This window comes from Homo sapiens, chromosome 2 (genome assembly GCF_000001405.40).
Source record: "Homo sapiens chromosome 2, GRCh38.p14 Primary Assembly".
NCBI lineage: Eukaryota > Metazoa > Chordata > Mammalia > Primates > Hominidae > Homo > Homo sapiens.
Genome location: NC_000002.12, coordinates 160,034,220 through 160,060,801, shown reverse-complemented (window position 1 = coordinate 160,060,801; position 26,582 = coordinate 160,034,220). Strand labels below are relative to the sequence as shown.

Sequence of the window (26,582 nt, the reverse complement as noted above, 5' to 3'; positions counted from 1 at the left end):
GCAGCCCACAGGACAGAAGTTGGACTGGGCCACACAGAGAGTATGTGCTGGTGATCCTCCGAGTGAAGGGCTAATCCCTTCTATATGTAGCAGAACCAAATACTGGCCTGAGACAAATTCTCATCAGTGCCTTCTTTTTAGTAGTCAAGGGCACTCTGAAATTAGAGCCATCTGCTAGCCCTTGTACCTACTAGGTGCAATTTGCACATCTGAAAAGGTTGACATAGTTGGCATAGAGATTCTTCAGATATGAAAATGCTGCTGCTGATTTTCCAAGGAGCACGGAGGTTATGTACCATTCCTCGCACAGGCACAGGCTCTCTCCCTGACTCCAGTCACCTGCATGAGTAGAATTTCAAGTGTAAGCTGGACAGGTTTGAAGTCAAGTTTTTACTGTCAATACAAAATGGAAAAACAAAATCTTAACATTGAAAAGAACCTGAGACATTGTCTACTCTAGCCCTCTATTCTTCAGATGTGGAAGTTGAGGTATGGCTACCATGTAGTTAGCCATGCTTTGGGGTGCCTCAGTTTACCGCTGTGTTCACTGTACCACATTGACTCACTTTAGCCACGATTGACATCCACAGAGCAACTGAGAGAAAAATGCACACTCATTTTCATTTCCAATCCACTAATAATGGCTATGTAATAATGCACAGCAGATTATACATACAGCATTTTTTATCTGAATTGTTTGATATGTATTATTTGTAGATCTGATATGTATTACAAGCATGCCAGCCTTGGGAGGCAGATGATGGATTGTACTGTGATGATTTTCCAATGATTTATCAATAATTCTTGATATGGTTTGGCTATGCCCCCACCCAAATCTCAACTTGAATTGTATCTCCCAGAATTCCCACGTGTTGTGGGAGGGACCCAGGGGGAGGTAATTGAATTATGGGAGCCAATCTTTCCCATGCTATTCTCGTGATAGTGAATAAGTCTCACAACCTCTGATGGGTTTATTAAGGGTTTCTGCTTTTGCTTCTTCCTTATCTTTCTCTTGCCGCTGCCACGTAAGAAGTGCCTTTCGCCTCCCACCATGATTCTGAGGACTCCCCAGCCATGTTGAACTGTGAGTCCAACTAAACCTCTTTTTCTTCCCAGTCTTGGGTATGTCTTTTTCAGCAGTGTGAAAATGGAGTAATACAATTCTGTATTCAAAAGTCAGTAGATACAGTATTATATAGTAGTTAAGTTCTCGGGCTTCAGAGCTAGACGATCTGAGTTCAAATCCTGACTATGCCATTTACCATCCGTGTGACCCTGGACAGGTATTTTGCCAGTCAGTAGCTCAGTTTCCTCATCTGTAAAATGGAGCTAGTAATAGTACACATCTAAGTGTTGTCCTTTTGCTGCTCTCTCACCATGGCACCCTCTTCCTCTGGCCAATCCAGACATTTTGACAGGTTGACAGCCCCATAACAATTACTTACTACGGTGCACAGCACTGTACTTGGCAGGTCTGAAACTCATCTCCTCCTACCTCTAGCTCAGGCATCCCCAACCTCCAGGCCACCTACCAGTTTGTGGCCTGTTAGGAACTGGGCCACACAACAGAAGGTGAGCAACAGTGAACAAAAGAGGCTTCATCTGTATTTACAGCTGCTCCCCTTCCCTCACATTACTGTCTGAGCTCCACCTCCTGTCAGACCAGTGGTGGCATTAGATTCTCAAAGGAGCATAAACCCTATTGTGAACTGTGCATGTGAGAGATCTAGGTTGCGAGCTCCTTATGATAATCTAATGCCTGATGATCTGTCACTGTCTCCCGTCACCCCAGATGGGACCGTCTAGTTGCAGGAAAACAGACTCAGGGCTCCCACTGATTCTACATTATGGTGAGCTGTATAATTACTTCATTATATATTACAATGTAATAATAATAGAAGTAAAGTGCACAATAAATGTAATGCACTTGAGTCATCCCAAAACCATCCCCCACCCCACCACCCCATTGGCCTGTGGAAAATTTGTCTTCTGTGAAACCAGTGCCTGGGGCAGAAAAGGTGGGGGACCTTTGCTCTAGCTGGTTATTCCAAGGAGCCTGATTTTAGTTTGTTTTCCCTGATCAGAATCTGAGCCCTTCTTCTAGCAAGTGCTAAGACACACTAACTTCACTCACTCAAGTACTCCAGATACAAAGTGGACAGCGGGGAGAAAGAAGAAGGGGATGGAGCATCCTGGTGAAAACTGGGCATAGTCATTGCTAAAGGAAATGATCAGGGGGCAAGTAAAAGGGTTTTGAAGCTTTGTTGAGGGTTGAAAAATGATAAATGTGAAATGGTCCCCCACTAATATATCGTAGGAGAGTTTCCTTCTGTAGTGCTCAGCTTCCCAGAGCAGGAGTGGAAAGAACCTAAGTCTGTGTCAGTGCCTGGGGACACTCAGGGGAGGCTCTTCTAAATGACCAGTGATCAAAGGAGGTGAGGGTGCAGATGAGTGTGTGGTCAGTGTGCTTGCCATCAGGTCCTATCTGGGGAGAAGAAAGTGAAACAGGGTTGGGTGTACGGGGTGTCTCTCGACATGCTGCGCCGACGGAAAGAGGGGTAGGGGCTGATGGCCTCAGTTGTTCATTATCTGTCAGGCAATATGTGCTTTATCTACCTGTTTTAGTTGGGTTCATCCAAAAGCAATTCCTGAGACATGTTTTCCTTAGGGTGCAAGTAGTTTTTTTTTTTGGAGGTGATTCTAGAAAGCATGGTAAGGGAGTGAGGACATGAGACCAGAGAGGGAAGAAAGCCACCACAGACCACTGGGGCTCAGTTTCACAAAGGACCCTTTGAGGAACTGTATAGAACTCAGTGGACCCACCAACGGGCAGGAAGCTGAAGTATTTATCCACCAACTCCCGCCTCTTATTGACTAAGGTCACTCCTGGGGCATTCACCCCCTGGTGCTCCTGGTCTCTCCCAGGCAGAGAGCCACAGAAAGTCAGTGGGAGTGCACGAGGACTGTCTGCAGGTGAGTGAGCTCCAGGTTAGAGGGTGTGAGAAGGAAACCAACAGAATCTGCTACCCACCTCCAGATTGGGGAGGTAAAAACATGAGTAGGATATGACACTGGCCCCAAGAGGCTGAGAGTCCAGGGACAGATACAGAAACATAAACAATTACAAAACAGTGAGAGAGGTCTTATGATAACCAGGGATGAGCAAAGTGCTGAAGGCATGCAGAGGAGGCACTGGCCTGGGGAGCTGGAGGCTCATAAAAAGACATTTGTTTTCCTAAAGGATAAGTAGGCAGTTACCATATAGGAAAAAGGAGACTGAGCATTCCTGGGAACATGTATTTCATGTGCAAAGGCCCAGGATCACGTGTCAGGCAACAGTAAAAGTTCAGTGAGCTGAAAGTTCCCTTCTGAGCTCTTTTGGATTCAAGGAAAGAGGCCCACTGAAGGTCACTCAGGCAAACGTGGAGTTGGTTGTAATGGTCCCAGGATCTCAAGGGGGACCCAGGACAGGTTCTTCAGGGCAGCCAGGCCTCCTGGGAAACAGGCACTGGCCACTGACATGAAGCATTACTTTATCTGTTTCTCTCTGTCTCTGGGGCTCTATGGTGGTTCCTGCTTGGTTGTTCTTTCTGTTGACTGTTTCTTTGGCTTTGACTAGTAGGACTTTCCTCTGTAGCTCCCTTAGCTTCCTGGGAAGAGTCCCTTAATTTCCTAGGAGAGGGGTCTGGTTACATTCTTCACAGCATGCTAGCTAGTTCCTGTGCTCTGCCCTCAAGTCGAAGGCCTTCCCCTGGCTAATTGGCCATGGTAGAGGCAGGAGGTGGACACAGGGATGGATGCTGCTTCATCCAGGGCTGTGGATGGTATAGACCACCAGAGTAGGGTCCCAGGCAAAACAAGAAGCAGTGACATGTCTATAGTTGGAAGCATGAGAGAGATGAGGAAGAGTTTGGTTGGAGGCACCCTGCTTCTGGAAAAAGTCTGGCTGAGTGAATTGGGTACTGCTGAGAAGGGCCCTGTGGGTTTGCACAAAGGGGAACCAGATTGCATGTTTAAGTTTAGAAGTGCCATGTTCAGTCTGGGACTTGAAGAGGGTCTCCTATCACCTTGAAGAGGGTAATTCTGGAAGGCAGCAAAGAAACCGTCTGGATAGTTAAAGCTGAGCTAAGTCAGTCCCAATAGGAAGATTGAGGAGCAGAAAGTTTGGGTTCAAGAAACAGGGTTTAAAAAGAGGAAAATATATATTTAAAAACAACAACAAAAGAAAACAGTTAGTGAAAGTTAGATGAGGGAAGATTGCAGAATAGGAGAGGTAGTGGTTATAGAGTGCAAAATCCAAGTTTTGGAGATGGACCTATTCTTGGTAGTGACCAGATCCAAGCTGTGTTTGTGGGAGTGGTCACCAAAGTGAAGAAGAGGCAAAAGAAGGTCCTCACAGCAGAGGAGGTCAGGGAGCCCAATGTCCAGAGCAAAGCTAAAGTCGAGTAGAGTTTGGGACTCTTTTGTCAGCAAACCACAATAAGAAATACATTTTACATCACAACCCACAGCATATAGGTCTACATATGTATAACTGAAACAATGTTTCATTTTTTAAAAAATACCCTTACCTAATATGACATGCTGCTACATTTCCCCCTGTTCCATTCTGTTTCGTTTTGTCTCGCTGGTCATAACACATTCAGTTGATTTCAAGACCATAAATGGGCCACAACCTGCAGTGGGGAAAGCATCGAGTCAGAGTGTTGGGTCATCTGTATGGAAGCTAAAGTGGCTTTGGGGTGTGGAGAATAGCGGGGAGTCTGCTGGTATCAAAGCCATGGTGAATGGGGGGAAGAATGGTTCAGGGCAGAGGGCCCCAGTGGCGAGGAAGGGGGGTAGCTGCCACCTTCTGAAAGAGGGCGATGAGAGCCACTACCTGGAGGCGGCAGTGGGGAGAAGCTGTAGCCCTGAGATTTCCTGCATAGCTTCTGTTTCTAATACAAAGGTAAAAATGCCCCTCTACTGCTTCTAGTATTTTCTAACAGCTGGGGAGTCGTTACTCTTTGTTGTTTTATTTACATCGACACATTGTCTCCTCACCAAAACAGGTAGGCAACATTAATACATACCCTTCTTTTACAGATGAAGAAGGGTTAAGTAACTTGTGCCCACAGGAGCTTGCAGCATGGGGATTCGAACCAAGCACTCTGCACTAATGCAAAGGATCCCTGAATAGCCTTGTGACCCCATGGTGTGGTTCATTCTGTATCCTGCTGCATGACAGAAGCATGCGATTTGGTTTCACAGCAGGAAGAATAGGAGGCCAGCCTCTTGTTCTCTGCAACTCCTCCTTTTCCAAACCCCTCCTTCCACATGTGGGAGTGATATTTTCCTAAAGCAGAAATGTGCAAAGCTACTGATTTATGTATTGTTCTAGGCAATTCTGATGTCCCTAGGCAATGAGCCATTCTACTAATCTGGAAACGGAATTTCAGTAAAAGCGTGATCGGATAGTGGTTTAGCTGCCCTTCCTGGCCCTGAATCATGCCAGCCTTCTTGACTCCGTTTCTCCCATTTCTGTTTGTCATCCCTCGCATTTCTTCCCCTTCATACTTTTCTCATCCTACCTTCTCTGCCTGGCTCCTTTCCTGGCAAGCCTTTGTGAGTCAGCATAGATGTCCAGTTTTTCTGGTCCTATTTACTCTTTCTTGTTAAGCCTCTAACTCTTTTCCTATTGTTGGTTGTCACAGTAACTGATGCCACACAATGCAGGTTCCAAGCCCATCACAGGAAAGATGGGGCCACACAGATAGCTTAGTTGTCCCTGCAGCTCCCCTTCTTTGACCTAACAATCTGCTTATTTATATCAAGTTTTCTGAAGAAACGGTCCCCTTGTGTTGCCTCTTCTGAACTCAATCCTAATGCTGCAAATCCTCATGTAATCTATCAAAGTAATTGATTTAAGACATTTATAAACCCTTCCCTCCATTTTTTTTTAGAAATTATCCTTGAGAGCCTTTTGGAGATGTTCCAACACATAGCTAGGAGCATAAATTATATTTTGAATTGATCAAAGCAAAAAGAAATATTATTGTTCATAAAATAAACAAAAGAACACCATATAAACACTATATTAAGTCATTTAGGGAAAAACATTTTATAAAGCCACTCAAGAAAATTAGAAAATTATGATTAGAATATCTGTAACTTGGGTTCTGTGACACAGAGCTAAACAAGACAGAAAAGTCATAGCCACTTGGCTTTTTAATTTATGATACTTTTTAGACAACTACAGTTCCAAAGAAATATGGAAATAAAATAGTGTTACCACTTCTAGCTTTTGGTATTCTGCTCTTGAGAACTTTTCAATCATGAAAATATAAACAGGAAACTCAAAGTAATTATTTAACTATACACATTTTTTCATTTTGCTGCTCTTTGGCACCATTCATATTCAAAGTTAAGATTGGCTTTTATTTTTATTAATATTTATAAAGTGATCATCATGACTGAGATAATCCCTATCAAGGCCTTGTGAGGCCAGCACTATTATTTTTTTCTTTTTATTATAAAATTTAAACTTTTTGTAAAGAAGGGGTCTTGCTATGTTGCTCAGGCTGGTCTCAAACTCCTGGTCTCAAGCTGTCCTCCAGCCCCGGCCTCCCAAAGTGCTGGGATTACAGGTGTGAACTACACACCCAGCCCCAGCATTACTATTAAACCCATTGTGCAGATGGGAAAACCAAGGCAGATACTCTTCTGGTTTTAAGCAGTTCTGCCCTGAAAGAAGTGCTCGGTAGTTTGCCAAGGTCTTTTTTACATAATGTTAATCTTGTTCAAATGCAAACAAGGAGAGCTTCATGGGGATGTAACCAGTGCAGTTGCACAGGGCCCTATACTCAGAAGGGCCTTCCTTCCACTTAGGGTTTAAAGCTCCATGGTTTGGGGTCTTGGGATTCATAATCATTTCTATCTTTGAATTTGTGTGCTGCGCATGATGTCCAATGGAACAATGGAACTTGAGCCAGAGGTTTGGAGCCTCTGTTCAATTCTGCCTGGTGTCCCCTGTCTACCTCCCGGGACGGGTTCTCAGCTGCCTCCTCCCAACTCCTGCCCTACAATTGATGCTGCCTGCTGCACACAGTGGCAACCAGGTTGCATTGAAGTTGGGGGACTGGAGGCCTGGGCCCTGGGAGTGGATGCCTTGTAGCATTTCGGGGCAGTGCAAGGCAGTATTTGTCACCACTGTACTGATATCACTTCTGTGGGTTCTGCGAGGGCTGAGTGGGAACCTCTCACATATCCTCAATCCAGGTACTGTATTCTAAGCACGTTATAGCTCAGAGGTTGCAATCTCCTGTGGGCCTGAGGGAAAGGGACATTGACTTGACTTCCCCATGTCCAGCCAAAACCACGTATTTTCATTGCACCCTGGACCCTGCAAATGATGTAGACAGCCTGAATAAGAATGATAGGGATGGTTATGATCTGAATTGTTCCCCCCCCCCCCACCAAATTCGTATAAAAATGAGACTTTACTTGGAGATAGGGTCTTCACAGAGGTAAACAAGTTAAAATGAGGCAGTTAGGGTAGCCCTAGTCTATTATGACTGGTATACTCATAAGAAGGGGAAACTTGGACACAGAAATATGCATAGAGAGATGATGTGAAGAGACACAGGGAGAAGATGGTCCTCTAGGGGCCAAGGAGAGAATCCAGGAATCCATCCTTCCCTCATAGCCCTTGGAAGGAACCATCCCTGCCACACTGTAATCTCACGCTTCCAGCCTCCAGAATTATGAGAAAAGAAATTTCTGTCATTGAAGCCACTCAGTTTGTGGTATTTTGTTATGGCAACCCTAGTAGCAAACCGATACAGGGACTAACACTCTATCTACCACTAAAAGTTGTTTGTTTGTTTGTTTTTTTGTTTGTTTTTTAACATTTCTACCTTGCACTTTAGTAAATGATTTTTCTTTTAATGGGCATACTCCCAAGGCGGCTAAGATGGATAGCTCATTGTAAGCACTTTTGTTTTCAGTAATGCCATATCATTTCCGGAGTTGTTTTGGTTGATGATGGAGTTGTTTTCTGGTTTTGTTGGTTTTTGTGACCCAGTCTTTGAATCATTTCCCCCTGGGCTTTAATATGCAGGCATTTGTGAGGGCATCTTAACAGTGTTCTGTCTTTTTGTCCTTGCCCTAACTTGCACTTTGTAATGAGGCACCCTTTTGACTGAGATGGTATATTTTCAACAGAGTCAATAAGATAATCACAGAGCTGTTGTGAATAATGATTTTTATACCAGCAATGTTTGTTAAGTACTTTCCAGTTAAATAAAGGCAAAACAATGGGAGAATAGACTAAAAGCTAAAAGGAAGAAAAATGTTTTCAACTCAGTTTAAAAATTCATTGGTAAGATACAGAGGTCTAGCAAAGAATCACGGAAGAGAGATTTTCTGCCAGGGTCAGCAACTGCTAAATGAGGACAGAGCAGGAGGACAGAGGAGGGAACGGGAATGGCCAGGGAGTGGCAAGGACAGTCTGAAAGGGTTAACCCCTCCTGGCACAGGGGTTGGTAACAGACAATTTGAAGCCTCACAGAACTGCAGTCCGGTGGCACTGATTATGCTGGGTTTCATTTTTCCCTCATGTGAGAAAGACTATTGTGTGCCTCATGAAACTTGGAGAGGCAATTAGGTGAGATTAGAGAGAAAATGGAAGAGAACATGTAAAAAGATTTAGCAAGAGCGGTCCACGGCCCTGTGGAGATGGTGATTATCTAGGTTCAGAAGCTGTAGGAGAATAAAGAAGGCTAAGAGTTAAGGACAATGCTAGGACAGGGAAAGAGAAGAAAGTTCTGAGACAGGACAAAGAGGTTTTTTAAAAAATGTACTTGGGTAACTTTTTAGTTGATTAATAGAAGGCAACTGACAGGAACTCAAAAGTTTCAGAATAAGAGACACATGAAAACTCAGATGATTTCAGATAAAATGCACATTTCCATGCAGAGAGAGAGGTAGGAAGGGCTGGCCCACTTTTCACTTTCTTCCGTGGATCTCTTCTTTGAAGAACCATGCACATGCTGCTTGCTGCAAGCATGAGAAATTCCTCACTTATTGGTTTGAAAGGTCATATTAAGAATACAGATTTTCTGCATCACTCGGCCATGAATAGGACTTGATTCAGCAGCTTACAGTATTCCTTCCTGCTACAGAGTAATCTTAGGAACGTAATCAGCTCTGAATCCATTGTTCACTAGATGGAACAGATAAAGACAAACCCAAATTTGTGAAGCTGGAAAAGGTCAGTACATCTCAAGAGAGAAGCTGCTCACCTCCAGATTGGTTACAGAGGAGAGATGCCCTCCCCATTTCCTTCTGGACTGCATCCCTGCTGAAACCTAATAATGTCAGAACAGCAAGGAAATGGACAGAGTCAAGACAGGCTGCCGGGCAGGAAGGGCTTGAGCCCAGCACTAGCTCTGTGGGTAGATGGAATAGAAGCAATTTCAAACCTATGGACTGGGGTAGGAGATTGAAATTGGGTTGCAGCCTGCATGCTGTGGCTTTCTAATAGCTTGTCTTAAGCATTGCACTTGATGTGAACCATGCACTGGAACTTTTCCTTCCAGTTCCCTTAATGGAGCAGCACAGAGACTGACTTTATGTGTATAGTTGGATTAGGTGAACACCTTCATGGTGTAATTTATTGAATACCAGAAAGTCCTTTGTTTGCCTAAAATGCCACCATTAAAATTGTTGTTTTATTGTTTCTTTAAAGTGTTTTTTGTTAAAAATGCGGAAACTTCACAAAGGCTTAACAGTACAAATCTTATCTTACTCACTTTAACACTTCAAACCTTCACTCAGCTAGTTCTAAGAGAAGAGCTGTCTAAAGCTAAAGGGAACACTAAAGGCAAGTAGAGGTGATCAGAAGGGGTGCAGATGGTCAAGTGCAGAGGCCTCAGGAGAAACTTCCTCTAGGTACCTCCAGTCTGCTGTTCACACAGACAGATCAAACTGTAATAATGGCCCCAGGCTTTAGACTCCAACCTCATGGCACCCCCTTTTGCTTATATCTCCTATGTCAAAATATATTTTGGCATTAGGGTATAATTTCTTTCTGTGCATTTCAGGGATTCCCAGGGAGAATGTGACTTCCTTGCAGGCAAACACTATGACATATATATCCTTCTGTCTGCAGGGTTCCTAAACCATGCCACATCAAGCAGTTGATAGATCTTTGTTGTCTGAAATTTCAAGTCACCTACTTCAAAATGTTTGGCAACAATCTATAGCAGTTTATTTTCTTCTAAGTTATAAATGAATGCATGTAAATAAAGCTACACCTGGACTGAATATAGTAGATAGATATAAAACTTCTAAGACAAAAATGGATTTGGAAAAAAAAAAGTGAAAGAGTGGTTCAGTTAAATAATCTTTACAGTTCCATCCAGCTCTGAAGTTCACGGTTCAGGGTTTATGGGTGAAGTGAGTCTCCTCTGCCACACCCGTCTTCCTTCCAGCACTGCCCTGCTTTGTCCTCCCTAGAAAGTGGGCAAGTACATGTGTGTGCACACTCCCCGCTCAGAGTCTGGTGACACTGAGGGGTCTTGTCCACCTCACATGTGACATCAGTTGAAGAGCCAGTTCAGGGTCTTAAATTTGGGTTTATTTTCTTTCTCTTATTTGTTATCACTTGGTTTTTTAAATCTTTTAAAATAATTGTTTATTTTATTTTGTTTTAAGTTCTGGGATGCACGTGCAGGATGTGCAGGTTTGTTGCATAGGGAAATGTGTGCCATGGTGGTTTCCTGCACCTGTCATCCCATCATCTAGGTATTAAGCCCACATGCATTAGCTCTTTATCCTGATGCTTTCCCTTCCCCTGCCCCTGCCACAGGCCTCAGTGTGTGTTGTTTCCCTCCCTGTGTCCATGTGCTCTCATTGTTCATCTCCCACTTGTAAGTGTTATCACTTGTTTTTAAGAACTTATTTTATTTATTTGTTGTTTTTTGTTTGTTTGTTTTGAGACACAATCTCGCTCTGTCCCCCAGGCTGGAGTGCAGTGGCATGATCTTGGCTCACTGCAGCCTCCACCTCCTGGGTTCAAGTGATTCTTGTGCCTCAGCTTCCCGAGTAGCTGGGAATACAGGCACGCACCACCACGCCCAGCTAATTTTTGTATCCTTAGTAGAGACCTCAAGTGATTCGCCTGCCTTAGCCTCCCAAAGTGCTGGGATTACAGGTGTGAGCCACCACGCCCCACCATTAAGGGCTTATTTTAAATGCAATTATAATGTTTTCTTTGGAACTGATGGAACTCCCTTCTTTTCATTAGCTAGGCAAATTCCCATGATTCCAGAACAAATATATACAGTTTCAAAGAACAGATATTTAGGCAAATAATTTCTCTCTATCTCTAGCATCTTACCCAGTGTCTATGAAGTAGCTGGCATCCAATGAAAGCTAGTTGAATGAATGAATGTTCCATATGCAGTCATAAAGGTAATAACCTAAACTTCGGTTTAAAAGTTGATCAATGAAACATTCTCCTCCCGCTCCTTAGAAGAGTACACGTTATCTTATGGGGCCAAAGAGTGGATCTGAAATGGTCTCCTCCTAAAGGAACTCAGAAGTAGAAAGTAGAACCACTGTCTTCCATGGATTTTATTTAAAAAAAAAAGGATAGAAATTAGCTTATAAGTTTCTTCTGGCCGGGCGCGGTGGCTCACGCCTGTAATCCCAGCACTTTGGGAGGCCGAGGCGGGCGGATCACGAGGTCAGGAGATCGAGACCATCCCGGCTAGAACGGTGAAACCCCGTCTCTACTAAAAATACAAAAAAATTAGCCGGGCGTAGTGGCGGGCGCCTGTAGTCCCAGCTACTTGGGAGGCTGAGGCAGGAGAATGGCGTGAACCCGGGAGGCGGAGCTTGCAGTGAGCCGAGATCCCGCCACTGCACTCCAGCCTGGGTGACAGAGCGAGACTCTGTCTCAAAAAAAAAAAAAAAAAAAATGTTTCTTCTAATAAATGAATCCTTTTTCTCCTCCTAAACTTATAATTATGAAGGGAAGTATAATAACATTTTCCTGCAAAGAGATTTAGTAATTCTGGCAGTACTTCATTAATCACTTAATCAGTGTTCAAGCAGAACTGATGTCCTTGACATGTATAATCAATCTTGATTCCTCCCACATTTGATTTTCATCTTTTAAAAAATCCAACAACTATGCACACTAAGGATTGGTGGCTTATTTTCACATTATAGTTTTGTTAGAGACATTATGTGCATATAATAACAATCAGAATATTGATACCTATATTAAGTCTCCTCACAGTCTATTTGAAAGTAATTCTTTTCAGTGAATTTATGGAGATTAACAGTGCTAGGATCATATTCTATTATAACTTAATGGAAAAATGGGCTCAAGTCATTTTTTAACTTAGTATATTTGGAGGCAGCATGTTGATTATTATTGGTGAACCAGAGCTACTTGCCTATGGCACATTCTGAAGAACTTTTCTAAAGCTATTTCCTAAAGGCAGCTGGTGTGGAAATATAAGTAGCACCCCAAAATTAAGCAGCAATGGATTAGGTGTGTCTAATATGTTCTGCTTTGGAAAGGTATTTTTATGATTGCTGGTGTGACTACAGAAGTTCCAATTTCTGCCACTCTTTTTCTCTTAACATTTATTAATTTGGAAGTTTAAAAGCATTATTGGCCAGGCATGGTGGCTCACACCTGTAGTCCCAGCACTTTGGGAGGCCAAGGTGGGAGGATTGCTTGAGCCCAGGAGTTTGAGACCATCCTGGGCAATATATTGAGATCCTGTCTCTACCAAAAACAAACAAACAAACAATTAGCCAGGCATGGTGGTACACACCTGTAATCCCAGCTACTCAGGAGGCTGAGATGGGAGGATCAGTTGAGCCTGGGAGGCCGAGGCCTCAGTGAGCCATGACAGTGCCACTGCACTCCAGCCTGGGTGACAGAGCAAGACCTTGTTTCAAACTCACCGCCCCACAGAATATTTATTCACCCCAAATGTTAGGTTTGTAATTTTCATGTCTATTTATTCACAGACCAGCCATTCCCGCATCTACACACTGCTTGTCAACACCATGTATTTTTCTCTTTCGTATTAAAAAACCTACAGTGTAGACTTTACAGGTGGGTAATGCAGAAAATCAACAGATGAAGGCTCTTAATTCATCATTGCACACATATTTGAACAAAGGAGGCAAATATTTTGTTATCTGGTTGTTTGGAGAGTATTTTTCCTCCATAAAAGATGATAGCGTGGTGTCTCAGGATTGTTTAAAACTAAAATGTCTGCACCCACTGTGTGCTGCAGAAACTGCAGTAAAAATAAGCTTTTGTGCTAACAGTGTAAGAAGAGAAGCCTTTGAGGGATGATGAGATTAGCACTCTGTAGGTTCAACCAGGTCTGCAGCTGGATCTATAGACCAAGAATCAGGAAGTCAGAGGAATAAAGTAATAATGATAGCTCCCATTTCCTAAGGCTTTTCATGGTAGTATGTGGTGTGCTTTTCATGGGTTACTCAATGGAATATCCTTAACATCCCTAAGAGGTCAGTACCATACATATTCCCAGTTCAAGGAGGAAAGATGAGGCTCACTGAGATGGAGCAATCTGCCCAAAGTTACACAGCAGGTCTGTGACAGCTCCACGTGACTCCAGAGCTCTCAACCACTAGCCAGGTCGTCTACACACCTATCTGAGGTGTATAAACTGAGGCACAGTCAGTACGTTGCAGAGCTTATAATACATTTGAACATATATATTAGGTAGAAGCTGAACTACAAAACCATTATAGTAAAATAATTATCCTTTAATGAAAAATTAATGAACTCTAGGTTAGCTAGAAAGTGATTAGTAGGTTACAACAGAAATTAAGGTAAACATTCTACCCAGGCATGAAAAAGTGAAAAGGAGAGTTGGACAGAAGGTTAATTATCGGACTCCATATCACATTGACGAGAGGTGGATTTGATTTTGAATCACTATTACTAATAACCATGCAGACAAGGCCCTCATTAGGAAAACAAATTTCCTGATCTAAATGAAATCTCCCTAAAACCATTCATTTTCCCCACCCCACCCCCTCTCTTTTGCTCTTATGTATGGTGATCAAAGCAATTCTCTGACAACTAATTCAACTCCTCAAATCTATGGCTATAGGTAAGGTCATCAACTATTAGATGAGGTATACCATTTATTAATACATTGACAATCTTTTTGAAACAGTATCTTAAGTGATTTTGGTTACTGTAAATCAGTTCTCCTCAGGCTGATTAACTTTGGAGAAACCAAAAGAACGTTTACCAGAATGAAGCATTGTTCCCTCGTGGATCCATGAGGAGGCCCGTCCTGCACTGTCCCAAACCTCTCCAAAGCCTCTGCCTGTACCTGTTCTGCCCTCCATTACATGACCCGCCCTAAACCCCAGACATTGGAGGGAACCCTATCTTGTCCCTTCAGAGTTTTGAAGAATAGACAGGAAGTAAAATAGAAGAGGGGAACCTAGCTACTGGGAGAACAAAAGAGCGCCTGGGCCTCACCAGACATGAACTGAGGTGACTTAAGCAGCCAAAGGCTGAAGCAGCAGCAGCCGGTGTGTTTCATCAACAGCAAGCACTGACTGAATTTCCACCATGTGCCCAGCACACTCCATACTTAGACCAAAGAAATGAGACTTTGTTTCCATCTTCAAAAAGCCTGTGAGAAAACAAGTTCATAACTGTTGAGTACTAGGTGCCTTCCAGGCCCGCAACTTGGGTTAAGTCAGGTAGCAGGCTGGCAGCTAACATGTATTCCCCAGCTGGGTCCCACAGCTTTTCCACGGGAAACTCACCCAAATCCCTTCTTCCAGCTCCGGGGAGGAGAGCTTAGGGGCATATCACAAAACACCTGCTTTCTCCGCCTGTCCATGTGGCCTCTGGTTTCTGCCACCGTAATGGTGGTCCGTCACCTCTCGTGTTTCAAGGTGTGGTGCCATAGCTAGTGGCCTGGGCATCTACCTGCTTCTGCCTGCCCCACCCAGCAAGCCATCTCCTACTAAGAGTCTATCCCCATATAGCAAGAGGTCCCCACCTCCACCCTTGTACTCCTGAGAAACATTGTATTCTGACCAGTATTGAATCCCGTATCAGATCACAAAGCAGCATTTCACTGATAGCCTTTCGGTTTTCTATAGGAACTTGATGGTAGAGAGTTTCATTCAGTGGCTCTTGATTCAGCAGCTGTGTTCCTAACATTCAGGCACTTGTCTGAGAAAGACAGTGTTGTCATATCCATTGGCACCCAGTGTCCCTCCCCGGGAGCCCTGAGTATTATTACCAATCCCTCTCTCTAACCAATTGTGTGAGCACACCTTCTCTGTCAGTAACAGACCTGAGTGGATTGGCAGGTAACCCTTGTTCCCATATGGCCAATTAGGTCTTAGATCAGAGCTCTCCCATTAGCTCCAGTAAGACCTTTTATGCTTCCCAAGAAACTCCTCTGTTTTATGCAAATACAGCCCTTCAGGTGGACCCTGCCCAACAACTCCAGATCTGTGGGAAATGGCTGGCAACTGTCGCATATCGCACTTAGATATGCACACTGAGATCCTCATGACGCTAGTTAATTATATATGAAAATTTCATGCCACATCTTTGATTTTTGTTTCAGATAAAGGAATATTTGTTATCCAAAGTGAGAGTCTCAAGAAATGCATTCAAGCAGGTAAATCGGTTCTGACCCTGGAGAACTGCAAGCAAGCAAACAAGCACATGCTGTGGAAATGGGTTTCAAACCATGGCCTCTTTAACATAGGAGGCAGTGGTTGCCTGGGCCTGAATTTCTCCGCCCCAGAGCAGCCATTAAGCTTATATGAATGTGACTCCACCCTCGTTTCCTTACGGTGGCGCTGTAACAGGAAGATGATCACAGGCCCGCTGCAGTACTCTGTCCAGGTGGCGCATGACAACACAGTGGTGGCCTCACGGAAGTATATTCATAAGTGGATTTCTTATGGGTCAGGTGGTGGAGACATTTGTGAATATCTACACAAAGGTAAAAATAATTTAAAGAAGCACTCAGGGAATGGTGTTTTTTTAAGGTTTGCCTATAAGTAAAGATTTGTAAAGCATTACGTGAAAGAAGTACACGAAGCCTGGACCCTCAAGGGACTTCTGCTAAATACATTTTAGTTGCTTCCTTGCTTATGGTAAAAGGGTTATGAGAGTCTCAGAATGGACATACTACATTCTGCTAAAGAAGCAGAACTTCTCAGAATTTAAAGGTATTGGGAGGAAAAACATTTAACTGACTCTGGGAATCAATGGAAGGGAGCAGAAAGAATAAGCAGACAGGAGGGAGAGAGAAAAGGACGGTGGAAGGAAAAGATCTTTGAAGACTTTTGTCATGACAAATATAATAATCTCTCCTCCCCTGCCGCCATTTCTCTTATTGTAAAAACTCATCCCCACCTATGGAGGTATGTGTCCAGGACACCTCCAATGCCTCCTGATGCTGGCTGGCATTCATGTGATTAATCATGTTACAAGTCACTTGAAGAGAAATGACAGACTATTGTCGGGGGTTATTTGGTGTGTGCCAAGCATGGTTGGTGGGGAAGCATGGTTTAGAGGGGAATTTCATTTTCTATGGTTATTTTTGTCATTTCTAAACAGAAAAAAAAAGAAAGTTACATAGTTAAATTCAAATCTCAAACCTGTCCCTCAGCGTTTTGTTTGGTAGCTCACTCTATCCATCCATCCATCTATCTATCCATCCATCCATCCATCCATTCATCCCGCATTTTTGTATAGCACTGCTAACAAATCCACCCCACATTCATCAGGCACTGGACTAGGCACCTGGTTTACAAAGGTCCACAGGACAGGTGGAGCCCCTACCCTCGTGCTGCTCTGTAGAATTATGCTTTCACAAGAGCATATGCTCCTAAGAATTCTGTACGGTCCTGGGAAGCAGAGCAAGGAACTCCTAAAGAAGAAATGATTAAAAAGAGACAGAGCCAAGGGCCAGGCATTTTCAGGACTCACTAAAATAAAGCAAGTGCTGCAAACCAGCACTCTGAATAATCTACAGTTCTGAAGAGGAACTTGATATTTTGCTTTATGTTAACTTTTTAGCCACATACCCACACTCATGGTGCATGCAGGGGAAGATTCTGGGGAACATATGCTTTGGAGTAGAAGGAAGGGGACTGAAAGAAAAGGGCATGTCCTGAAATACCTACGGTTCCTAAATAGCCCTAACTGCTAAGGCTGGTGACTGGTGACATGTCATGAGCTCAGGTCAGCCCCTGCCAATTGTGGGAAAGAGGTGGGGCTCTCCACTGCTGGTCCTTTTGCCCCAGGACATACCATTGGCAGCCCCAGTTGAGTCATGAAAAGTTTTTGTTGATTCCTGATTAAGGCCAAGAATGGCCGAGTATTGCAATACCCTGAGAAGGCAGCCAGCAGGCCACGTCTGCATGGTCGACTTGCTCTAGACCACTGAGAAGCCACCCAGCCAGCTGTCTCGCTTCACCCTCTCCCTATGTCAGCTGTTTGCCCCTTTGCAAACAGGGCATCAGTGGTTCTTTAAAAATGTAAATCTGATCCTGTCACTTTCCCATTCAAAACCCGCAAGAGACTTGCCCCCACCCTCAGGGTAGAGGCCAAAGCCCGCAGTATGGCGGGGAGACAGCTCTATGTGCACTGACACTCTAGTACGTCCCTGGCTCCCTACCCAGAGGGCCTCCTTCCTCTTCTTCATTCACCCCCTCACTTGTTCTTGTCTCAGGTTCTTTTTACTTGCTGTTCCTTCTGCTGGATCACCTCTTTTCTAAAGACCTGCACTCTCAGGTCACCCAGTTCCTATTCAGAGAGGTCTTTCACTGCCCATCCTGTCCAAAGTAGTGCCCTGTGCCCCTCCACCCCATCTCTCCCTCTCTCTCACTTTCTCTCTCTCTCTCTCTCTCCCTCTGTCTCACACATACACACACACACACACACACACACACACACACACACACACACGCACACACACACCCCACTCTGTCTTCTCATCCTATTTATTTTTCATCATGGCACCGCTACCTGCAATGATACTGTATGTTTACTTGTATATTTGCTTTCTCTTTCTCTCTCCTTGATAGAAGTTCCACATAAAGGAACTTTTGCTGGTTTGTTCACTGTTGTATCCCCAGTACTGAGTACATTAAATGTTCAATAAATATTTATTGAATGAATAAATTAATAAATGCCTATGAATCTATTGAGCTTTAGATGCTAATGGCTGATGTGTTTGGCGACTGGAAGGTATTATGAAGTTAAATCTCCATTAAAGTTTCTTTCTCATCCATCCACAAATATGAATGTTACTGTGACAGCTCACCATAGTAAGTAAACAAGTAGATAAATGCATAAGCAAACCATGTATCAGCACTTCCTCTGAGCCCAGCACTCAGTCTCACACCTCTACTGACAGGAGACAGTGAGGACCTGAGGGCTCACTCTGCTGTAGTGAGTATCTGCCCCAAGAGGGTTTCAGTCCATAAAAAATGCTTTCGATATATAGCAGTTTCCAAAGATAAAGCTGACATCATACTTATCTGACTTTGTACATTTCTTTCTCCTAGATTTGCATACAATCAAAGGGAACACCCACGGGATGCCGTGTATGTTTCCCTTCCAGTATAACCATCAGTGGCATCATGAATGTACCCGTGAAGGTCGGGAAGATGACTTACTGTGGTGTGCCACGACAAGCCGTTATGAAAGAGATGAAAAGTGGGGATTTTGCCCTGATCCCAGTAAGAATAAATTTTGTCTTCTCTATATGTCATGAATGAATCAAAGATGATTAGAAAGTTATCTGTATCTAAACAAAAGCACTGGGATTGATATATTGAAGTCTGAATAAGAACCCTGATGCTATTAACACAGATTTTGATTTGGGGTTTGTTTTTGCCTTGAAAAGACAATTCTAATATATATTCTTTTTGCCGTACATTCAAGAGATGTTAATTAGCCATTCTTCATTAAGCTCAGTGCATAATGATGTTTTAACCAGAATCAAATTATAAATACTCTGCGATCTCATTGATCCCAGCTTCTTGGCTGGATACTTCAAAACAAACCTGATTGCATATAAAGCCCAGTTAGCCTTTCAATCCACTATCTCTTATGAGCTGCTTTAATTTCTCCACATCCAGGCTGCTGCTTGTCTCGCCCATTGTCAAGCCCAGGCACCAGCTGGCCCCTTGATGATCTTTCTAAAATCGCAATTGCCCTCATTATTTCTTGACAGTGGATTCTCGTCTTGACTCCCTTTCCTACTATTTACCTTCTGGCTATAACCTCATTTTTTTTCTTTTCTTAACTTGATTTTCAAAGTTCAATGGCAGTGGCAATGTTCTAACTTCTTTTTTTCAGTTAGTGCCTTATTATTTCATTTTATTTTTATTTAGCTAAAAAGTTTCCAATTGTTACCAAGTATTAGAGAATGTTTATATATGCCTCCTACTTTCTATATTCAATTTCCTTTCCCTTGGTTTCTGTGAGTCAGAGTACAGCTTTTACAGTCTTCATCTCCCATGCCTGCCTCCCCTCCACATATATAAAATGCAACAAATAAATTTGAAGCAAAAGCAAGTTGAAGAGATTAACCCCAAAGAATCTGACTTATAAAGTATCTGTAGAATTGTTTTCTAATCCAAGAGCTAGTATGGCTTAGCAAATAAGAAAGAGTATAAGCTTTGAAATAATCACACAGGCCAAGATTGGAGTCCTGCTTCCTCCCAACAATGAAATTTTGGGAAGCTCTCTCCATCTATCTGAGTCTCAGTTTCCTCAGACATAAAATGTAGGTAATAGCAGTACCTATTAGGATTATTGTGCAATTCAATTAGATGAGGCATTCAAGGCACTTTTCATAATATCTGGCACACAGTAAGTACTCACAAGGGTTAACCATTGCAGCCAGAAGCAGCAGCAACAATAGCAGCAGCAGCATCAAACCCAATTTATATTTTCAGCATACACTTCTGAATCCATGATTTCTCCTCTCTGCTGTAAGTCAACAAGCACTAAGCTATGCATAGTGGTGAATGCCAAGAGTTTTAGGACTTAGGATCCTCCCTTTAAGGAACTTGGCATCTAGAGAGAAGACAGGTTTGCTGTATGCCAGAAAATGCAGGCTGTATTTGACACAATGCCCTAGAATCACCTGGGAGATAGTTTAAATGCATATCCTGGCCCATCTTCCAGAGATGCAGTGGGTGCAGTATGTAAAACTCAACCATCTGCATTTTTGAAAAGTGCCCCAGGTGACCCCGGTGCAGATAATTCATCATCAAGCAATAATATGGAGATAATTCTATGCAATATACATCTATATACAGGGATAATATCAACACATTTAACAGCCAATATGGTATGGGCTATTGGTCAATCGCAATGGAGACCTTAGTGTGGGGGTTGGGAATTCCAGAGGCTCTCTGCTGATATTAACCCCTTAGCTGCTACAATGTGGGGGTGGGGTGCAGGGAAGCCTGGGTAGTGGGGGTAATAGAGAAGCTCAGAACAGTGGCTATTCACCAACCAGAATGAAAGCATTTTATTATTTTATAACTGTCAGATCACCAGCCTTCTCTATTTGAATCTAAATGTATGCATGTAGGTGTGTATGCATGTGATCTCTACACCCCTTGACTCCTGAAACAGATGTCATATTATTTTTATTATTGTCATATTATTTGCATCATCTCTTCTTTTTCCTTTTCCATCCCCAATAGAGGTCATTATTAAAACCAAATAAATGAACCAATACTAATAAAGTTAACACGTACTTCACATGGCTCTAATACTAGGGACTTCAAAAAAAAAACTACAATATTCTTCTTAAGGTTCTGAAACCTTAAGAAGTTTCCACTGGGAAACTTCCAATGACAGTTTCCCAGTGGAAGCCTGGGTTCAGTGGTGCTCCAGGCTTTTCATTCCCCAGACCATCTATTTGTTCAGCCTTGTACAGCTCAGAAGCTTCCTCTGCTTGACAGCCTGCCAGATTCCAGCCCTCCTGCCCTTTACCACAACCAGCAGAGAGCATGTTTATTTGTTCAGTGCCAGTTTTCTTCCTTTCTTGTTACTTTTGGCTCCCGGTAGCCAATATAACTCAAAATGACGTGTCGGAGATTGAAACCTGAGCAAGCTGATAGCTCTTTCCATGGGGTCAACAAGTGGATAGGACAGAGAAGAGTGAGTGGAATAAAGTAAAGGTCTGTACTGCTGTATCTCATCCTTCTTATGTGGGAAATTTTTTTAAATATCTCAATGTAAAATGATGCTACATTTAAAAAAAAAGTTGATTGTAAATGAGCAAAATTTAAATGTAGTATTCATAAACACATATACAAATATACTAGCGGTGAAGGATGTAATAAAACATCTTCAGCAAAAAGGATGACACACAGGAATCTCTCTGGGTTTGTTTAGAGGCAATTATGGGCCATTCTGGACTCTCTTGGTTGTGTGCCTTACAGAGCTGCAGAATCACACTTAGTTAATTTGAGATATTTTTACGATACCAACCTGTGAAATGATATGATTGCCCTTGAACCTTATTTTTATATAATTCTGATCAGTTGCTCGAGTGATATAATAAAGCAGATTTAGGCTGGGCACAGTGGCTCACACCTGTAATCCCAGCACTTTGGGAGGCTGAAGCGGGCAGATCACTTGAGGTCAGGAGTTTGAGATCAGCATGGCCAACATGGTGAAATCCCATCTCTACTAAAAATACAAAATTAGCTGGGTGTGGTGGTAGGCACCTGTAATCCCAGCTACTTAGGAGGCTAAGGCAGAAGAATCGCTTGAACCCAGGAGATGGAGGTTGCAGTGAGCCAAGATCGCGCCACTGCACTACAGCCTGGTGACAGAGCAAGACTCTGTCGCCGCCCGCCTGCCCCCGCTCCCGCCCTCCACAAAAAAGACAAACAAGCAGATTGATACAACAAAGGTATGGCTGCTCTCTCCTGAGCCCTCAACATGGCTCAGCAATGCTATATGTTTCTGTCATGCAGTTCTCACACCCCACAATGACCCTGCCAACCTCTCTATTCTCCTCTAACTTCTAACCCTACCTTCCAATCTCCTTTCTGATTCTCATTATTTGACCTCAGTTCCTACCTCATAATGGCAAAAAGATCCATCAGACAGACAGTTTGGCAACTTCCTGCTCTCTCACCTTTAAGCCTACCTGCATCTGTGCCCATCTTTATTTCCTCCCTTCTATGCGCGAGGATGATGTTCCTCCTCCTACATGGGCCAAGTCTCCCCACCTGGGCTCTGGAGCGCCCCATCCAACCTTCTCCAACCTGTATCTCAGTTGTTCTCAATGTGTGGTCCCCGTTCCAGCAGCGTTGGAATTCCCTGGGAGCTTGCTAGAAACGCAAAGTAGCAGTCACACCCTAGACCATCATATCAGAAATTCTAGAAGTGCAGCCCAGCAATCTGTGTTTTAACAAACTTCTAGGTGATTCCAGTGCACACCCCTGGGTGCTTCTTTGCTGGGCCCTTTTCCTTAGCAGTTAGACCTGTGCGAGTCTTGAAATAACATCTTAAAAATACTGCAATTCTTTCATCCCTATTTCTGCCTCCTGAAAACACCTCTCTCTCTCATCCTCTAAATAGAGAGAATTCGCAAAAGAATTGTCTATACCTTCTTCAGGGCACTGTCTCCTCTTGACTTCTACAACAATGCATGCCTGACCTTGACCTCCATTTCCACAGACCATTCATCCATTTATTCATTTAACAAATATGTATTGAACACCTACTATGTGCCAGGGACTTCTCTGGCTCCTGGGGTTATAACCGTGAATGTGAAATGTGAAAGTCATAGTGCCTGCCCTGATGAAATTCACATTCAAGTATAATACCCAAATTAATACATAATTACAGTTTGTCATAAGTTCTACCTTAAGAAAATACAGTATTACAAGTGAGAAACCGAAGTTAAAATTGGGAGTCATGGAAGGTTTTCCTGAGGAAGTTGTATTTGAACTGTAGCCCAAGAGATGAGTAGAAGTTGTCAAAATGGAAAGTGGGGAAATGAGATATTCACACGGAGATGCATGATACAGACATGTGCAAAGGAAGGGGAGAGGGAGTGGTCAGCATGGGATGCAGGCAATAAAGAGGGTATATGGTTTAAATAGAACTAAAAAATAATAATAAAACCAAGTAAAAGACAGCATGCTTTTGAGTCACCAGGCACATGCTCTAACCATTCCAAACAATGTCAGTGATAAAATACGCCCACCTGTCCAGGCTGACTGCTCCTCCACCCCCAGCCCTCAGCATGTCACTGGCCAGATATCTGAAGGTTTTGAGGGGGGAAAGAGGTTATTGCCATCTAAGAAAGACAATGTGGCAAGAGTACAGTGAATGAAGAAGAGAGAAACAAGACACTCTGAAAGGGCAGACAGAGTCCATGAGTGTCATAAAGGTAAGGACTTACCTAATTCTAAGTGCAAAAGAAAGCTATCAAAAGAGTTTTAAGCAGGGGAGTGATGATTTTAAAAATATATATTTAAGGATTACTCTGGCTCTATTATACTGAATGGCTTGGAAGGGAGCAATAGGCAAATCCTGGAGACCAGGTAGAAGGCTAGAGCAATAGTCTGGGCCAGGAGTAGTGGTGGCTTCAGTTAGGTGGCAGCAAGGGGATTGGAAAAATGTGGATTTATTGAAGATCTAACTTGTAGATAAACTGAACAGGACCTGGTTGTCAGGAGCTTAGCTGGGCTGGAGACAGCAGAGCTGTCAGGTGTTGGAGTAGCTGATTAAAGCAACAAGCCAAAAATGAAGGTGTTAAGCTGTTGATCACTCACTACAATGGTATAACAAAGAGACTAAAAGAAGAATTCGCCACCTCCCCCGTTCCATTTTTCCCCAGGGAACAGCACAGCCATCGAGGGTCAGTGGATCAGCACAGATGTGGAGTTCAGCTCAGCTCACTATTGAGAGAACACTAAACAACAACAAAGGCTTTTCAGTTGTATAGATTCTGGGTTGGGGTAAGGTGAGGGGAAGAGCTAGGAGTTGAAAAGTACTGAGCACTGAGTCAGGGTGGGGAAAAAGTGTCTTCAAGATTCCCCTCCTTCCCACTCCATCCCAGCCTCAGCAGAGGCACCTGAAGAGGACCTTGGCCCAAGGCCTCACATAGAAAGAGACCTAGGAATGGAAGGCACCTGCACCAGAAATGCAAATAACACAGAGCACGATGGGCTTGAGGGGCCTGAACCGTTAACTATGACTCTCTTTAGAAACTGCAGTGTGCCAGCTCAGCACCAAGTCTGGGGTAGGGGCAGCTTTCCCCCATGAGGCCTACCAGGTAAAGCCTTTGTAACTGCCTGTGGTCAGACCTCAAGAATCACATATAGGTTTTTAACCAGGAGTAGGACTTCTCACTCCTAAGAACTTGGAGGCTAGGAGAAAAAGTGAGACATTAATTCAGACTCCATGTTTCTGACATGCATAGCTAAGTTTATGGAGATATACATTTGGAAAAGAAAATTAAATACTATTCAGGTTTGCACATGTTACATGTGAGTCAGTTATGTAGAGATGTGGACTAGGTAGGTAGATGTAATGGTCTCTATGTATTTGGAAGTTATAGGAAATGGACCCATGAGAACAGGTTAGATAGCCATGTGTAGAAAGAATGTATAGAATAGAAAGGAAGGGGGCTCAGGGCCAAGTCTTAAGGCCTCCAACATTTAATTTGAGTAGAGAAGAATAAATCAGCAAGGGAGACTGAAAGGGGGCAGCCAGGGAGGAATAAGGGTAGCCAGGCATGGGAAGTCAAGAAAAGAGAGTAAATCAGCACGGAGAGGGAACTCAGCCTGCCAAGTGCTGATGAAGGGGCTTGTTTGATAAAGTCTCAAACTAACAGTTGCTGAATTTGGCAACACAGGGGTCATTGATGGCCTTAAACAAGGTATACATTAATGGCTAGATTCAGTGGATGAGACTAAGTGGGAAATTAGAAGAGGATGAAACACTTCCCAAGTCATTCTACGTATGCACTTCACTTCATTAAAAAGGAGGTGTAGTTTAGGAAGGAAAAATCACCTATTTATAACACCATGAAAAAGATTCTGGTAATCTCTCATCACATAATAGGAGACTCAAAGTTATATATGACACAATTGCTTCCCTGGAGCCCATAATTTAGCAATAGAAGAGATGATATAAACACAATCAAAGATGTAAAGAATATAACAATAGGATTTTAGCCCTTAGATTAGAATTTTTCAAGAATAATAAACATACCTGAGACACCAGCCTTTGATTTTCAGAGTTCTCAAGCTGGGGTGACCCTTCAGAGTTGCCCCTTGTTGGGATACAGGGGCTAAGTATACCACTACATTGACCAGTCATGGTGTCAGCTGCCCTTGGGAAGGGAGAGTGAAAGGGCAAAGAGACTCTTCTGCCAAAGCAGTCCTTAGAGAGCAGCACATCACAGTGTCTATGACAACATTTTCATTCCATTTGTTACTTAAAACTTACAAATGAGATTCCTGGAGGGACATGCAGCCTATCCTAGAGAAGCAGAGAAAGGACTTGTGTCTGCCAGTACAGAAGTACAAATTCTTATACAGGCTGAGTATCGCTTATCCAAAATTCTTGGGCCCAAAAGTGTTTTAGATTTCTGATTTTAGGATATTTGCATATACATAATAAGGTTTCTTGGGCACAGGACCCAAGTGTAAACACAGACTTCATTTATGTTTCATATATACATTATACCCATAGCCTGAAGGTAATTTTATACAATATTTAAAATAATTTTGTGCATGAAACAAAGTATTGACCAAAACCCATCACGAGGTCAGGTGTCGAATTTTCTACTTGTGGCGTCATGTCAGCACTAAAAAAATTTTCACCATGTTGCCCAGGCTGGTCTTGAACTCCTGGGCTCAAGCAATCCACCCGCCTCAGCTTCCCAAAGGGCTGGGATTACAGGCATGAGACACCATACCCGGCATCTTTCTTTCTCTTTTTGTAGTGATAGGGTCTTGCTTTGTTGACCAGGCTGGTCTCGAACTCCTGACTTCAAGTGATCCTCCCGCTTCAGCCTCCCAAAGTGCTAGAATTACAGGCATGAGCCACTGTGACTGTCCTAAATGATTCTTATGCATGCCAAAACTATGAACACACCCCCGCTCCCCCATCATGGTCTCAGCTGTCATGGTGGATGAGTATGGCTGAACTAGTGTCTCGTAACACGTAGTAGTATATTGTCCTTCTCAGGGAAGGCCTAGGATTTTAACTGAAAACAATCTTTAAGGATTCCATCTCAATGGGGAAATTTCAGCCACCTGGGCAAAATGGTTACTGAAAATTTCCCTTCTCTTTTTCCTTTCTTTCTTTTCCTTCCCTTCAGTGTTACTTGGTGATAGCCTTGTCTTCTGCCTTCCTTTAATCTTGGATCCTTCTATAAACACATGTATCAGTCAGGAAACTCTATAGACAACCTTAGATTTATATGTGATTTAAAACCTCTGGAATGTGTGTTGCAACCAGACATGAAAATAAACTTTCCACATTTCCC

At 43.1% G+C, this 26,582-nt stretch overlaps 1 protein-coding gene and 1 long non-coding RNA gene across 18 annotated transcripts in view, besides 1 other annotated feature; one reads left to right on the top strand and one right to left on the bottom strand.

Annotated features, from left to right (window-relative positions):
* LOC105373717 (uncharacterized) lies at positions 1–25,416 on the bottom strand. 2 transcript variants are annotated; one of them, XR_007087274.1, is made up of 3 exons: positions 25,301–25,416; positions 4,572–4,676; positions 1–339 (listed from the first exon to the last, which is right to left on the bottom strand). It is a non-coding gene; the product is annotated as an uncharacterized LOC105373717 (long non-coding RNA). The 2 variants fall into 2 exon arrangements; XR_001739756.2 differs by lacking the exon at positions 25,301–25,416 and adding an exon at positions 5,571–5,693.
* Positions 1–26,582, top strand: part of PLA2R1 (phospholipase A2 receptor 1) — a 138,683-nt gene that overhangs the window by 1,814 nt on the left and 110,287 nt on the right. For all 16 annotated transcript variants that reach the window (XR_922892.4, XR_007071491.1, XR_001738672.3 and 13 more), the window contains exons 2-3: positions 15,645–16,028; positions 18,604–18,777. Coding sequence is in view for 11 of the 16 variants with exons in the window: in XM_047443729.1 (XP_047299685.1) it covers positions 15,645–16,028; positions 18,604–18,777 (558 nt within the window). In the remaining 5 variants the exon portion in view is untranslated. The remainder of the gene's footprint in view (positions 1–15,644; positions 16,029–18,603; positions 18,778–26,582) is intronic.
* Positions 4,907–5,588: an enhancer, noted in NCBI's record as "OCT4-NANOG hESC enhancer chr2:160911725-160912406 (GRCh37/hg19 assembly coordinates)". NCBI's record gives its function as "activates a minimal SCP1, AML or CMV promoter by ChIP-STARR-seq in naive and primed H9 embryonic stem cells {active_cell/tissue: H9 hESC(naive and primed)}" and the evidence as "EXISTENCE:reporter gene assay evidence [ECO:0000049][PMID:30033119]".